The following is a 15809-nucleotide window of genomic DNA, read 5'->3' on the forward strand; positions in this document are numbered from 1 at the left end:
AAACCAAACCAGTTTCTTGAAACATCAAACTTTAGTTTTATCTATACTACACCAAGCCATCCAGATTAGGAGTTTATTCTCAAATGTCTCCTGGGTGCAGGTAGATAATTAGATAATTGAACTAGAAGGCATAAACTTTAGGGAATGCTGGTGACTGCAGAGAATAAGAGAATTCATGCAACTGCTCCATTCCAGCTGATGGCTGCCATGTGGGAATCTGAGGTGGGTGAACAGATTTTACAGTTTTCAGGAGAAATTGGAAATCTGGGTTTTTATGCAAAATCTCCTAACCTAACAAGTTTGAAACACGGTGGACTAGCCAGCTGTTTGTGCTGATTTTAACTTAAGGACCACAATCTTGAAATCTTTGAACTAGATACTTGTAGTGAAAAATTCATTTAATCATGTTGATGCTGATATTTTCTTTTATGCTTGTCTTTCATTGGGGTGAATATTTCTTCATGATTGTCTCCTACAGGTCCAGTTTAGATATATATAAAATAGTGACTTGGAACCAGTGAATTTGATATGGTTATTTGTAATTCTCATAGGTACTATATTTGGAAATTCTAGGGTGCCTTATAAATTTCTTGATAACCTTGACTTAGATGAGGGTAGTAAGCAATTCAGAATTTGCCATAATAAATGTGAAAGTTAGCTGAAATAAACAAGTTAAAGGTCGAGTGCTAGAAGTACAATTGCTCATTTAGGAATCAAAAAAAGGAAACACACACCTATAATGTAAACATAAAATAACTGATGTACGTAAAAACAATGACCAGAAATATCCTTGAAGTCATAATGACTTGGAAGTTAAATGTCATCTTTTATAAATTGTGTGACCCAGGGAAAGTTTGGGTATAGGAAGAGGTCAGAAAATGTCTTTATCTTTACCATATAGGCTGTAATACTTGAAAGTTTATGAAGCACTCATATCATATAACCAGTCTATTTGATGTAGCCAGCATGTTTTCCTAATAGGCTCAGCTAAGGTACAATATCATTTCAAGGAGGCATAAAAAATAAAAAGAGGGTCCTATCCAAGTAAGAGAGATTTAAAAAATGAGAAAGGACTCACCAAAAAACATGGATTCTGGAGCCAGATGCCTAGGCCTGAATTCTGGCTCCACCATTTACTAGGATGACAAGAGGATCCTCAAGGGCACATGGAGAGTGCTATATAATTAGTAAGTAGTATGTTTAATATTCTAACTAGGAAAATTTGATGGAAAAAACTGTGATTTTTTTACTATGTGTTATGTGCTTGGCCTTCATTTGAAACACTCTCTATATTGATCTACTTATTTCTCACAATATGCCTGTGGGTTAGACATGGCTATTTTCATTTTACAGATCCAAGACCAGGGTTCAGTGAGGTAAGAGTACAGTTGAAACTCTTTTTACCAGCTTCCATTTTGCCACCTTTCCATTCCACCTGTAGCTGGCCCCATGGCTTCCTAAGGTCTGTGGCTAGAGGGAGGCTCTAGTATATGTTTTGGTCACTACTGCTCCTACCAGCTGTGTTATGGACCTGCCAAGAGTCAGTTTTGTGTGTCCCAAACTACTTACATCTCTTCTTGCAATCAGGCCTACCCCTACCATTAATGGGCCCATGGACACAGTACAAATGGAGGCCCATATTCCTTGCATCTAAATATTGAAATATATAATTCAAAATAACAAACTCTTAAAGAAAGTATGTTTTATTCTCCTTACTTGACAAATAAATTTTCAAAGTTGTTGAGAAGGCCAAGTTCAAATTTCCAGTTCTCAAAATCTTTGGTGCTCCGTGTAAAACATGGTGGCCCAGAAAGAGGCACCATCTCATCTAGAGCATGTAGTCTTTGCTCTGCAGCCTCTCTCTCTCTCTTCCAACCTCGAATGTGTCTCCCACCAAAAGGGTCTCACGTAGGATTCAAACACCCTGACCCATGCTTCCAAACTTTGCTAACGTTGACTGCTATTTGGGCAGAGAATTTTAGGGACTTTGTACCTGGAACATGATTTAGAAAGGGGCATGTGAGCTCTGGATGGGTATGTTGTGTGGCTCCATTGAGAGGAACATGGCAAAAGCAAGACCAAAATTTGGACTCCTAAAGCATGGGTCCAGAACAGGATCCACTGTTTCTGTATCTAGAGGAGGTATTGATGATGATTTTCATTCAGTTATGTATAGTGATTACTTGTTAGCATGCAAAGACATGTTTATTATTTCTATGAAAATTATGTTAGAAATGGAGAGTCTACATACAAGTAGCTAAAACATTGTTATTATATTAGATGTAGGAAAAGTGTATTAAAATGTTGGAAGAGATAAAAATACAAAAAATTCCTACATTCAGCTTGATTGCCAAATGTTCTTTATCAAATTCAAGAATTGAAAATTACAGATGATTCATTACGGATAAGATTTATGCAAGAAAATCAATGTGGAACTCCAATTAGCAGACTTATTCCAAAAGATGGTGCTCTACAATAAAGAACGAAAACTGAATTTAGATTATCTAAAATAAAATGGAAGAAAACATTTAATATATAATATATATATATATATATATATATATATATATATATATATATATCTTGCTTTAATCAAAATTTTATTTGGCTGACTAACTCCAAGTCCCAATCTCATTGGCTAGACAAGCTTCTCCTGCAACTGACTTTGAGTCAGGGAGGTAGGAGCGTGTTAAAGTTGGGGTAAAAGGGTAGGTCTATCTTACTGGGAAGATTGCCCTCTTAACCTTATACTTGATTATTAAGAACAAAGTAAATATTAAGTCACTCATGTCTATAGTGCTCAGTAAAATGTTTTGGAATAAACTGCATGTTCGCTACCAGGATTATGTTGTAGTTGTGGATTACTTTTCAAGAGAGGTTATGGAAATGCTGATTAATAGGTATGTTTATCTAATACATTTTCTGGCTTGGCGGCTTCAAGACAAATTGTAGCATTCTATGACTCAATAGATTGACTCTAATACCAAACTCAAAGAAAGTATTCATTGTTCTTTCGTCAGTCAGTTTTAACTATATAAAAAGTTATAACTTTCTTAAATAATAGCATTTTTCTGCGTAATATCTTTGAGAAGGCTTACTTAAAAGACTGGCATAGCTAAGTGAGAAACCTCGGAGAGGCGTACTAACTCAAAGTGACTTTAAGAAAGATGGTCAAATTATAATAAAATTGAAGACCCAGAGAAGCATAAAATAGTACCAAGAAAAACTGAATTAGATATGCATGTGGCTCTGTCAAAAGAGATAGAATTTTCTCTTGGTGAACTGGCAGGTCTCCTAGACACTCTTAAAAACCTTAGGAACAGTTGATTGTAGAGGTGGTGTGTGTTGCCATTCTTCTTTCTAGAATGGAGAAAAGCTTTGGAGATGCTCACAGGCTACACACTGCAGCGACACATGGGAGAGAATCAAAGGGTCATCTTGCTCCTTTAAATTATCATTTCTGAGTTTAAAAAAATAACATTGGAAAGTATGAGTTGGTATCTTTTAGAAGAGAGGATGAACAATATAAAACTATCTTTTTTTGTGCTTCTTTTGCAGAAGCCCTCCTGAGTGGAGGTGATAACATTTAGGGAAGTGGTCTGCTATTTTTGTGCATCCTGCAACGTTTGCAAATCTGGTTATTTCCAATCCAGTACTCAGCTCTGTAACAGGACTGATGTTGTTGTTTAACCTAAAGCACTGCCCTGCCCAGTCTCTTATGAGGGACTTAAAACTTCCTATTATTTCCATGTACTTCCAGAACTCCAGTCTGCATAAGAATCTCCTGGAGATCTTGTTTAAATCGATACTCTGATTCAGTAGGTACAATCTAATTCGAGGCCTTCCATTGTGCTCTTAGGTGATGCCAATGCTGATGATCTGAGGGCCAGCCACGTTTTAGTAGCAGGGATCTAGGCACTAGCTCTTACCTCAGAACAGAGTGTTTATATTGAGATTCTGAAATTCAGGAGGAGTTGGAAAAGTGGGTCTTGGAAACACAGCCTTTGTTTATGAGTTAGTAAAGACAGAATTGATGAGAAAAAGGAAAATAACAACAATAAACACAAAACTGCTATTTACTTGTAGCTGTGTTTCAGTAGCTAAAGCCAAGAGATAAATTCCATAGTGGGTGAGAAATGTTATCTATGGGAATCTGAACTGATGTTAGGTAGGAGGATATCATGAAGCATGCAAATACTTTGCACCTATGAGAGTCACAGGTAAGTCCCAGGCTGAAGTTGCTGGCAGTTAAATGGATTCCACTTGCTCTCCTAACCCCGTCCTTCCAAAGCTGATAATAAAATTGTACCATTTAGCACAAATCAGAATGAGCCACCATAAAATAAATAAATTATCTCACCCATGAAGGGTGAGGATAAATTTGTTATATGCCTTGGAGAAAAGCACATTGAGGCCTATGTCCATTTCAGTCTAGGTAAGAAGGAAAAACTCTGTATGTAGTCAGAGTGGATACCAGCACATCATCCTTTCCTAAAACAGTGGCTCAAGTCAAGATGTCAGAATGGGTAAGGGGATATAGCAACACACCAGGACTGGGATGCTGGGTTTTCTCCATCCCCTCTCTTTCCTCAGGGAAGTCGTTCATTATGTGACTGGGCCAGCACCTGTTTAGGAATTACAAATTACCTTACACAGTTAGGTGCTGGATCATGAGGCCAGATGAGCAATTGTGGGAGGAGGAAGTTAAGTTAGGAAACTTGGTGGGGAAACCAAGACAGGTAAGCATTACCTGATCAAAGAATAACCAAAGATTACTTCTGATCAAAGACTATTTCAGAAACAAACTCTATGAGGTTGTTTCTATGGCCACATGCTTATATTTTCCATGCTTTTTTTCTTTTTTTGCTTTTTTTGTAGCCTAGTATTTAGGCACACTGACTTGAGAGCTGGGCTTTCTGGGTTAAAATGCTGTTCCTGACACTTATCAGCTGAAGCATCATGGATGCATTTCCTAACTTCTTGTGCTCCAATCTCCTCATCAAAAAATGAAGAGAATCATGGCCCCTTCTTAACAGGGTTGTTATGAAAAGCCAATGAGATAGCATTAGATAAAGTGCTAAAAACAATGCCGGGCACAGGGTAGGTACTATTCAGGTTAGCTGGTACTGTTATTGTTATTATTATTTTCATCATTTTGATGATAAGGCCTGCAGAGATGATGCTTACATAAACAATCTGACAAGTAGGGCTGGATAAAGCAACTTGAAAATGATTTCTGATAACACTGTTAATTATAACACCGAGAAAACCATTCCCGAGAAGCAATTGCTGTTTTGATTGGTTCTTAATATACAGTTTGTTTTTTTTCAGTTCAGCAACTGAATAACTACAGTGAGCCAGAATAAGTTAGACAGCAGTGTCTAAAATATGAGCCTTGCTCTTGAAAAGCTTTTCTTCCAGAGGGGATATAGGGTGGTCACTGCTGGCTCCAGAGTTTTCTGTAGCATTCATAGTGGTGTCGTGGTTTCAGCAATTGCTGATTTCCGTTTGCTGGACTTTTCCTTTGGTTTGTTTTAATGTTTCATTTAATGGAAGTGCCTAGATCAAAGCCCTGCATAAACTGGCTGTCAGTAAGTTTGGAGAGATGAGCTTGGAGGGTAGAAGATCCAAACACTCTTAAGAGATGGAACAACCATTCTCTCTTGCTACTCTCTTTTTGTCTTGGAATGGCCTCATTCTCATACACAGTGGTATATATGCCCAGAACCTGAGGAATGCTTGAATGCTGGGCCAAAAAGAAAAATCTGAGGTGAGAAATGTGACTGCTTGGTATTTATTTATTGGAGGCTATATACTTTTAATTCTGGCTTTAAATTCTGCAGCTAGAAATGCAGTTTGTGGGCAAGGAATGGGTGAATTTCCAAAAGAGATCTGAGAGGTTGACTTTTAGAATCCCTGAAGATGGGGATAAAAGGGGGACCTTTTAAATAAACCAAGTGCCCACAATGTCTTTATTACCACACTGCTACTTCACACTGTAGATTACATGAAGGCCTGGAGACTAATTTCAGCAACAGCCACAATTTACTAGCTATAGTGGGCCTCAGATGAATAGTTTCTTGTAAAATCAGTGGCAGCTTTATCCTAGCAGAGCACAAATAAATCAGCTCTTATTATTCCACATTCATTTAATCCAGGGACATTAGTCAGTGAGACCTTTCTGCAGCCTAATAAACAGCAGCAGCAGCAGCAGTTTTTCTTTATGAGAGTAGTCGTTCATCCTAAATTAGAGCCAGCATTAGGCGGAGGCAGAAACTTTTGCTGGATGATTTAAAGATATATAATATGAGACCATAATAGTGTATGAAAACTGTACCCATGTGTGTAAATATAGCAGGGTCATAATTTTGCTGTACGTGGATCACTTTAGAACATGTGGCTTATTTTATCTTTCTTGAGGGCTTTCTTTGTTGCAGGTGATGTTATCCTGTCTCTCTTCACTCAAGTGTCCTTTTATTTTACTTGGGAGTTGGGAAGGCATTGAAGTTGCATCTTCTTATTTCTGTTTACTCAGAAGGAAGTAAACCTGGCAGAGGAGGATTGTGAGCGAGGTGCATCTAAAATGTGCACCTGGATATTTCAGTTTGCTGAGCTGCTGCTTGATTCAAAATCCTAACCTGAACCACAGAGAACTTAAAAAAAAAAAAAAAACTAGTTAAGCCCAGGTCACAAGTTTTCTGTCGGAATGTCCCTATATATGTGATGTACACAATTTGACTTGCATTGTTCTGATGATGTGGCTTTAGGGAGATAGATAATTTAAAATAAGCTTTCCATATATACAAATTGGCCCTTACTTCATGGGTGTGCAGTATTCATAAGTAGAGATGAGTGTAGTTTTTGTTCATCTATAGCATAAATATGTCCAGGATGCTCTTTCATACCTCCATCAGGAGAAGATACATCAGAGAGTAATCAGCTTGATAAAAAATACATATGGAATCATTTGCTTGACACCAACAAATGCATAATCAAAAATGACTCTATTCCCTCTTATGTATAGTGTGCACATCACTTTACTTACTGATTGAGTTTGTATACAACAGTGCTCTTCACAGCCCAGTAAGCATTAATTGAATACCCACTATGTGTGCTCCACGGTGGAATTTTATGTAGATCTGCTTATTTAAAATGCACTTCTTGTGGGAAGAAGAGGAAAAATAGGGCAGGCCATTGGATTCCAGGAATGTAAGCACTGGAACTAATATAAAATTAATGAGATATGTTTTCCATTATCTGGAAATAAAATACAGTTATTATAACCAGGTATCATTGCATTTGACCACTGAGTTGTAGCCCATCCACTTAATGAAAATGAAAGTATCCTGATACAAACTGGGAAATACTGCATATTGGCATTAAAGGGTTACAGATATACAGCACTCAAATTAATTTATTCTTCTGTAGCTAAAATGATACACTTAGTCTTTCGATACAATATACGTGTAGTCAAAACAGATTCTGTTTGCCCACAATAATACATCAATATGTACGATTCTTCCTTCTCTGGGAGATTTACATTGTTTGCCAACAAACAAACAAACAAAAAACACCACCAGATAACTTAAGCAAAATCCTTAGGGTAGACCTTTATGGACCCTGATTTTTTAATAACATATTGCCCCTGTGTGGGTAAAGGATTCTTTTCCTATTCCAGCCCTGGCAGCAGGGGTGGCAATTCCAGCTGATCTTTGTGCAATGCATTTTGCTGATTTTCAGGGTGGACTGGATGATCTGCAGAGGATGTCTGAAGCACAAAGCCATTACAGCAACCAGAGAAATGATACCAAGTGGTCAGTACATTACCCTCATATAGTGAGACCAGCATATTATTAAACAATGATTTTGGAAATAGATGGTCAACCACTTGAGCACAGCAAATAGCCTGTACTTTTACATTTCTTCAAAGGCCTAACATAATACTTAGCATGTACTAGATATATACTGTGAATTGATTTAGTAACAAATGTTGATAAACATTGTTAAATAGGAAATTGCTCATCCTTAAAGATAGCTATGTCTAAGGAGGTTTCTTTTACTTTTCTTTGCACTATTCTTGTATACCAACTTATTATACTGTTATTTAAAAAAAATTCCTAGAAGTGAAACAATGAAATAGCAAAATCTTCAGTTTACATTTCTACAGGTAAAGTGAGGAGGAATTGAGACAATAATTTGGGTAATTCAGGCAAAAAGGCTTAAAATATTCAAATAACTAATGGCACTGGTAGGTTGGACAAACCGAATTACTGGGATATGATCATGAGGCATCTTAATTTTGACTCTCACTGCTCTTTAAAAATATATTCAGTGTGGCAACTTCTTTTCCTGCCCTGGATGAGAACTCAGTGTTCTCATGACATTTCTCATTACTCTTAGGTTATTAAAAATCCAGTCCATGTAATAATTACAATTCCAAACTTGATTAAGATTATTTTCTCTCCAATCCGAGCTAGGGCTTTTTCTTTCTTTCTTTGTTCTTCTTTCCCCAGCTTGTTTCCTGAGGTCTCTGATCCCTCTAGATTTGGAGAAATAGAAGAAAATATACTTATGAGATGCCAGAAGATTCATATTTGACTGGTATTCTTGGGATATTGCTTTACATTCCTAGACAGTTACGAGAAGCTTTTTCTCATGGGTGCTTTCATGAGTACTTTGGGAAACATGCTCCTCCTACTTGCTGTTTGATTGATCTACCTGTATTCTGTCTGGTTGCTTGCTCTTTCCAAAGCCCTTAAACATTTTTTGGCTTCTATCTTCTGAGATTTCCTTAAGCCAGCCTTCTCTGTACTGAATCTAAAACAACCCAACACAACATTATTTCATGCGTGACTCTACATGTAGTCCATGAGAAAGTCCCATGTTTTTTCTGCTTCTAACAAACTCCGATGAGGCTACTCGCTAAGTCAATATGCTCTCCTCAAGTTCACCTGCCACCTTGAGTTCACCTGTCAGAGCTCCCGTCAAACTTTCTGCATGATTCTGAACAATTTTGGTACCATCATTATGGGTGAAGGGTTAAAGAATCCTCCAAGATGTCCTCAGTCTTTCTTCCATGAAAGTCCCCAACAGCCTTTCAACTCCTGTTGACATCTGCTGTTATTTTCACACCTTGGATGAAACGGAGGCAGGAAGACCTCTTAATATCCTGTCACACTGAGTTGCATATTTTCAAAGAATGTAATTTATTCAAATGGTCATGCTCTTTCTTCACTGTTTTTATTCCCCCCAATCTTAATCTTCACTGGATATTTTATAGTCAATTTTGAATCTTCATATTTGCTGTGCATTGAGTAAAAAGAATGAGATGTAGAAATGATAGTTTTCTTGCATTCACCAAATTTCTTTCAAGCATGTATTATTCAGCCCTGTCACATTTTTATTTTGCTGACATGTAACTAGAAACTAGAAAAAATATTATATGAGCTTTATTTTGTGGGTTGTTTGCACTTTAATTTTTTTATTTTTAATTTTTGTGGGTACATAATAGGCATATGTATTTATGGGTTGCATGGGATATTTTCATACAGGCATGCAATGTGTAATAATCCCATCATGGTAAATGGGGTATCCATTACCTCAAACATTTATTCTTTATGTTACAAATAATCCAGTTATACTCTTTAGTTATTTAAAATGAACAATTAAATTATTTTTGACTACAGTCACCCTGTTGTACTAGCAAATACTAGGTCTTATTCATTCTTTCTAACTACTTTTTTGTATGCATTAACCATCCCCATTCCACACCCTCCACTACACTTTGCAGCCTCTGGTAACCATTCTTCTACTTTCTAGCTCCACGAGTTCAATTATTTTCATTTTTAGCTCCCACAAATAAGTGAGAACATGTGAAATTTTTCTTTTTGTGCCTGGCTTATTTCACTTAACATAATAAAATCCATTTCCATCCATGTTGTTGCAAATGACAGGATCTCATTCTTTTTTATGGCTGAATAGTACTCCATTGTGTATGTATACCACATTTTCTTTATCCATTCATATATTGATGGATACTTAGGTTGCTTCCATATCTTGGCTATTGTGACTAGTGCTGCAATAACATGGAAGTGCAGATGTCTCTTCAATATACTAATTTCCTTTCTTTTGTGTACATACCTAGAAGCGCAACTGCTGGCCTGTATGGTAACTCCATTTTTAGTTTTTTGAGGAACCTTTAAACTGTTCTCTATAATGGTTTTACAAATTTGCATTCCCGCCAACAGTATACAAGAGTTCCTTTTTCTCCAAATCCTCACCAGCATTTGTTATTGCCTGACTTTTGGATAAAAGCCATATTAACTGGGGTGAGATGATATCTCATTAGTTTTAATTAGCATTTATTTGATGATCATGATGTTGAGCATCTATTTATATATCTATTTGCCATTTGTATGCCTTATTTTGAGAAATGCCTATTCAGGTTTTTTGCCCATTTTTCAATCAGATTATTAGACATTTTCCTATAGAGTTGTTTGAGCTGCTTATATATTTTGGTTATTAATCCCTTGTCAGATGGGTAGTTCGCAAATATTTTCTCCCATTCTGTGAGTTGCCTCTTCACATTGTTGACTGTTTCCTGAGCTGTGCAGAAGCTTTTTAACTTGATATGGATCGCATTTGCCCATTTTTGCTTTGGTTGCCTGTGCTTGTGAGATATTACTCAAGAAATCTTTGCCCAGTTCAATATTCTGGAGAGCTTCTTCAATGTTTTCTTGTAGTAGTTTCATAGTTTGAGGCCTTAGATTTAAATGTTTACTTCATTTGGATTTGATTTTTATATATGGTGAGGGATATTAGTCTAGTCTCACTCTTTTGCATATAGATACCCAATTTTCCCATCACCATTTATTGAAGAGACTGTCCTTTCTCCAATGTATGTTCTTGGCACCTTTGTGAAAAATGAGTTCATTGTGGATGTATGAAGTTATCTGAGTTCTCTCTTCTGTTCCACTGATCTATGTGTCTGTTTTTATGCCAGTACCATGCTGTTTTGATTACTATAGCTCTGTAGTATAATTTAAAGTCTGGTAATGAGATTCTTCCGGTTTTGTTCTTTTTGCTTAATATAGCTTTGGCTATGCTGGTTCATTTGTAGTTCCATATAAATTTTAGGATTTTTTTTTATTTCTGTGAAGAATGTCGTCGGTATTTTGATAGGGATTGCATTAGGTATGTAGATTGCTTTGGGTACTATGGACATTTTAACAATATTGATTCTTGCAATCCATTAACATGAAATATTCTTCATTTTTTGTGTCTTCTTTAATTTCTTGCATCATTGTTTTATAGTTTTTTATTGTAGACATCTTTCACTTATTTGGTAAATTCCTAGGTATTTTATTTTATTTGTGGCTATTGTAAATATGATTACTTTCTTGATTTCTTTTTCAGATTGTTCACTGTTGGCATTTAGACATGCTACTGATTTTTCTGTGTTGATTTTGTGTCCTGTAACTACTGAATTTGTTTATCAGTTCTAATAGTTTTCTGGTAGAGTCTTTGGGTTTTTCTAAATATAAGATCATATCATCTTCAAACAAGGATAATTTGACTTCTTTCTTTCTGATTCAGATGCCCTTTATTTCCTTCTCTTGTCTGATTGCTCTAGCTAGGATAACCAGTACTATGTTGAATAACAGTGGCGAAAGTGGTCATTCTTGTCATGTATTCAATCTTAGAGGAAAGGCTTTCAGGTTTTCCCCGCTTAGTATGATATTAGCTATGGGTCTGTCATATATGGCTTTTATTATGTTAAGGTATGTTTCTTCTATACCCAGTTTTTTGAGGCTTTTTTTAAATCATGAAGCAATGCTGAATTTTATCAAATGCTTTTTCAGCATCAATTGAAATGATCATATAGTTTTAAATCTTCATTCTGTTAATATGATGTGTCACACTGATTGATTTACATATGTTGAACCATTCAAGGCCTGCTGTAACCACTCCCTAGATACCACCTATGTTCACTCAAGGCCCTGAAACTCTACAATCAGCAGGTGGCAAAGCCACCCACCTTCAGGGAGGTGATTTCCCCCATGGCCTAAGTGGGTCTGGAGGTGCCATGATTTCTCCCATGGCCTAAGTGGGTCTGGAGGTGCCATGATTTCCCCCATGGCCTAAGTGGGTCTGGAGGTGCCATGATTTCACCCATGGCCTAAGTGGGTCTGGAGGTGCCATGTGCGGGTCAGGGACAACCATCAAAAACCTTAGAAATCTACCTGGTGTTCTGTTGTACTGTGGCTGAGCTGACACTCAAACCATGAGATGCAGTTCTTCCTCCTCTTCCCTCCCCTTTCCACAGGCAGAGGAACCTCATCCTGTGGCCATGATAATCACAGGCCCACAGGGAGTACTGCCGGACTACCACTGATGTTCCCTTAAGGCCCAAGGGCTCTTCAGTCACCTTGTGGTGACTGCTGCCCATCCTGGGACTCACCCTGAAGGGCAGTAGGCTCTTCTCTGTCTCAGGACAGGTCCAGACATACCATTCAAAAGCCAAAGCCTGGAGTTGGGGACCCTAAGAGTCCACTAAGTGCGCTAACTTCCTGTGGCCAAGTGGCTACCTAAGGTGCAAGACAAAGTCCCCTTTACTTTTCTCTCAGCTTTTCCCAAGCAGAAGGAGTCTCTCCCTCTAGCCACCACAGCTGAGAATGTGCTGAGTCTCCCCTAAAGCCAATTAGTCTTAGAATGTCACCCAAGGCCCACAGTGGTGGACACCAAGATACCACCTTGGTATCACTGCTGGTTATTCAGGGCCCAGGGGCTTTTTAGTCAGCAGGTGATGGATACTGCTGGGATTGGACCCTTCCCTTCAAGGCAGCAGTTTCCCCTCTGGCCCAGGGTGTGTCTAGAAATGTAGTCCAGGAACTAGGGCCTGGAAAGGGGGCCTCATGACTCTGATGAGTGCCCTATCCTGCTGTGGCTGAGCCAGTATCCAACATGCCAGACAAAGTCCTTTTTACTCTTTCCTCTCCTCTCCTCAAGCAGAAGAAGGGATTGTCTCTTGGAACCATGAGCTGTGCAGTCTGAGGTTGGAGGATGAGTAGCATAAGTGCTCCCTTACCCGCCCCAGCTGGTGTCTCAGCAGGTTGAGTGCCCTCCAACTTCACTGACTCTGAGCTCAGTTCAGCACTTGGACTTACCTAGGAGTTGCAGTCATTGTGGCTTAGCTTGCCCTTCAAGTTTACTTAGAGACCCAGAGCTCTTTACCCCAAGGTGGTGAGGCTTGCTGGAACTCAATCTCCAACCACTAGGATGGGCAAGCTTGCCAGCACTCAAGCTCCCCTCTGACTGGGGCTGGTTTAAATGCTCCCTCTGTGTGGGGGCATCAGCTGAGTTTGTTCGGGTTTTGCTTTCTGCTGTGATAGGGCAGCACTGAGTTTAATGCAATGTATGCCAATTCTTGTGCTTTCCTTTTTCTAAGCACAAAGATTTTCTCTTCACACCACATAGCTAGTACCAGGAGATGGGGAAGGGATGATGTCAGCAATTCAAGACTGTCTTTCCTATTCTCTTCAGATCCTTTTTCAGCAATACGAAGTTAAATCAAGGTACTATGAGTGCTTACCTGATTTTTGGTTCTTATGAAAATGCTTTTTTTTTGTGGGGGGGTGGTGCGCGGGGTTGGGGTAGGGTTCGATAGTAATTAAATTGGTGTCCTTGCCATCAGGGATGATCAGTGGAGGCTTCTATTTGACCATCTTGCTCCACCCCTCTACTGGTTGCACTTTAATTGTGGAATCTGTATAACTTCTTCTATGAATCTACATGAGTCTTTTAATAAATATTATAGCTTTCATACATATGTGTAGTTGTGGGGAAAGGGAGAGAGAATGTAGAGGAGTAAGAGAGAGTAGTTGGTAAAAGTGGTGGAAAACCCCCTTTTTATTTAAATATCTAACTATAATTCTCAGTGCTTTATGTCTAGAGACTAGAACCTAGATTCTTTTCACAGGCAAAAGTTTTCCTACTGAATTTTAGAATCTGAAGAGCTTTAGTGATGATCCTGTACTACTCCTTTATTTTATGGTTTATAATGTATAATGGGTCGGAAAAGTTTATCTCTTTTTGTTGGAAAATTCTCAGTTCTATAAAGCTGAATCTTAAATTTTAAAGGATTTTTCGTTTCAGGTCACAAAGATCGTGGTAGAGGTGGAGCTAGAACTGAGCTTCCTATGTCAAGTTTTCCCTTTTACTGGACCTAAAACTGAAAAAGATATTTTCCAATATTTATTTTAGAATCTTAAGTTTCCATAAGATCTAGAAATACATTTACCATTGGGCATTACCACACCACTTACATCATTCATGCTGGTTACAGCTTTCCATAGTGAGAAAGTCTGTGTCAGTTTGGTGATGGTGATGATATGAAGGTAGTACAGGTAACTGACACTGGCAATTTCGTAAGCCTTCTCTAAAATATTGCACTAATATATCCTGGAAAGCTTCTCAAGGGGCTACCTTCAAAACCCAAATAAAAACCTAAGTAGCAAATGTAATTTATGAAGAGTTTGATGAAAACTATTGTACATGCATCTTAATTGTGTCTACTTTCCCCATGTCTTTAGAGATTATCTAATGAATATAAGATGCTTCTTTGACTTCTCAGACTAATATAAATGAGTTTTAGTTCCCAGACAATTCTAGGGCATTAGATGACTTTATCTCTATGTTCTGGTTATTTCTGCAATGTAACAAGCTACCCTAAAATCTAGTAGCATTAAGCAATAGTGAACTTGTTATGTTCGTGGATTCTGTTAGGAATTTTGAAAAGGCACAATGGGGATGGCTTAATTCTACTCCATGTTGTCTGGGGCTTCAGCTGGGATAACTTGAACGGCTGGGGATAACCCAAACAGATGGCATCTTTGCTCACATGCATGGTGTCTGGGCTGGGAAGGCTGAAGGATAGGCTCAGCTGCAATTATTAATTAGGGACCCCCTATGTGGCCTCTCCAGCATGGTGGCCTAAGTAGTCAGAAGTTTTATATGGTGATTCAGGGCTCAAAGAACAAAAGAGCAAAGCAGAAGCTGCATAGCCTCTGATGACTTAGCCTGGAAAGACACTAATTATCACTTCTACCATACTCTATTGATTTAAGCAATCACAAGTCCACCTAGACTTAAGGAAAGGCAATAGAGTCCCCTTGATAGGGCAGCATCAAAGGATTTGTGGCCATGTTTTAAAACAGCACACCCCAGTTAATCCCCTCCTGACTTTGGTGTTATCATTGTTGTAGTTTTAAATTTTTCTTACATTTTAGATCCTGTAAGAGATTATTATTGATTTTAAAAATAAACATTTATTTAGATTCATTCACATATATAACCTTTCAGTTGCTCTTTATTTCTTTCTGCATCTCTTTATGTCTGTCTGAGGTAATGTTTCCTTCTACTAGCACAACTGCCTTATTTGTGTCTTCTTCTTTCTTTGTTAGTTGTGCTAGAGGATGGACCATTTTTTGGATTTTTTTCAAGAACCAGCTCTTGGTTTCATTATTTCTGTATTGTTTTTCTGTTTTTAATTTTATTGATTTCTTCTCTTTTCTTTACTATTTCTTTTCCTCTGTTTTGTGTTCATTTTGCTTTTCTTTGTCTAGGTTGTTGGCGAGGAAGCTTAGATTACGGATTTGAGACTTTTCCTCTTTTCTAATGTATGCATTTATTATACATTTTCCTCTCAGCACTGTTTCAGTTGTATCTGACACATTTTTAAATATTGTATCTTCATTTTTATTCAGTTTAATGTACTTCTAAAGTTACTTATGTTGTTTACTCTCTAAGTG

The sequence above is a fragment of the Homo sapiens genome, chromosome 9 (assembly GCF_000001405.40).
Source record: "Homo sapiens chromosome 9, GRCh38.p14 Primary Assembly".
NCBI lineage: Eukaryota > Metazoa > Chordata > Mammalia > Primates > Hominidae > Homo > Homo sapiens.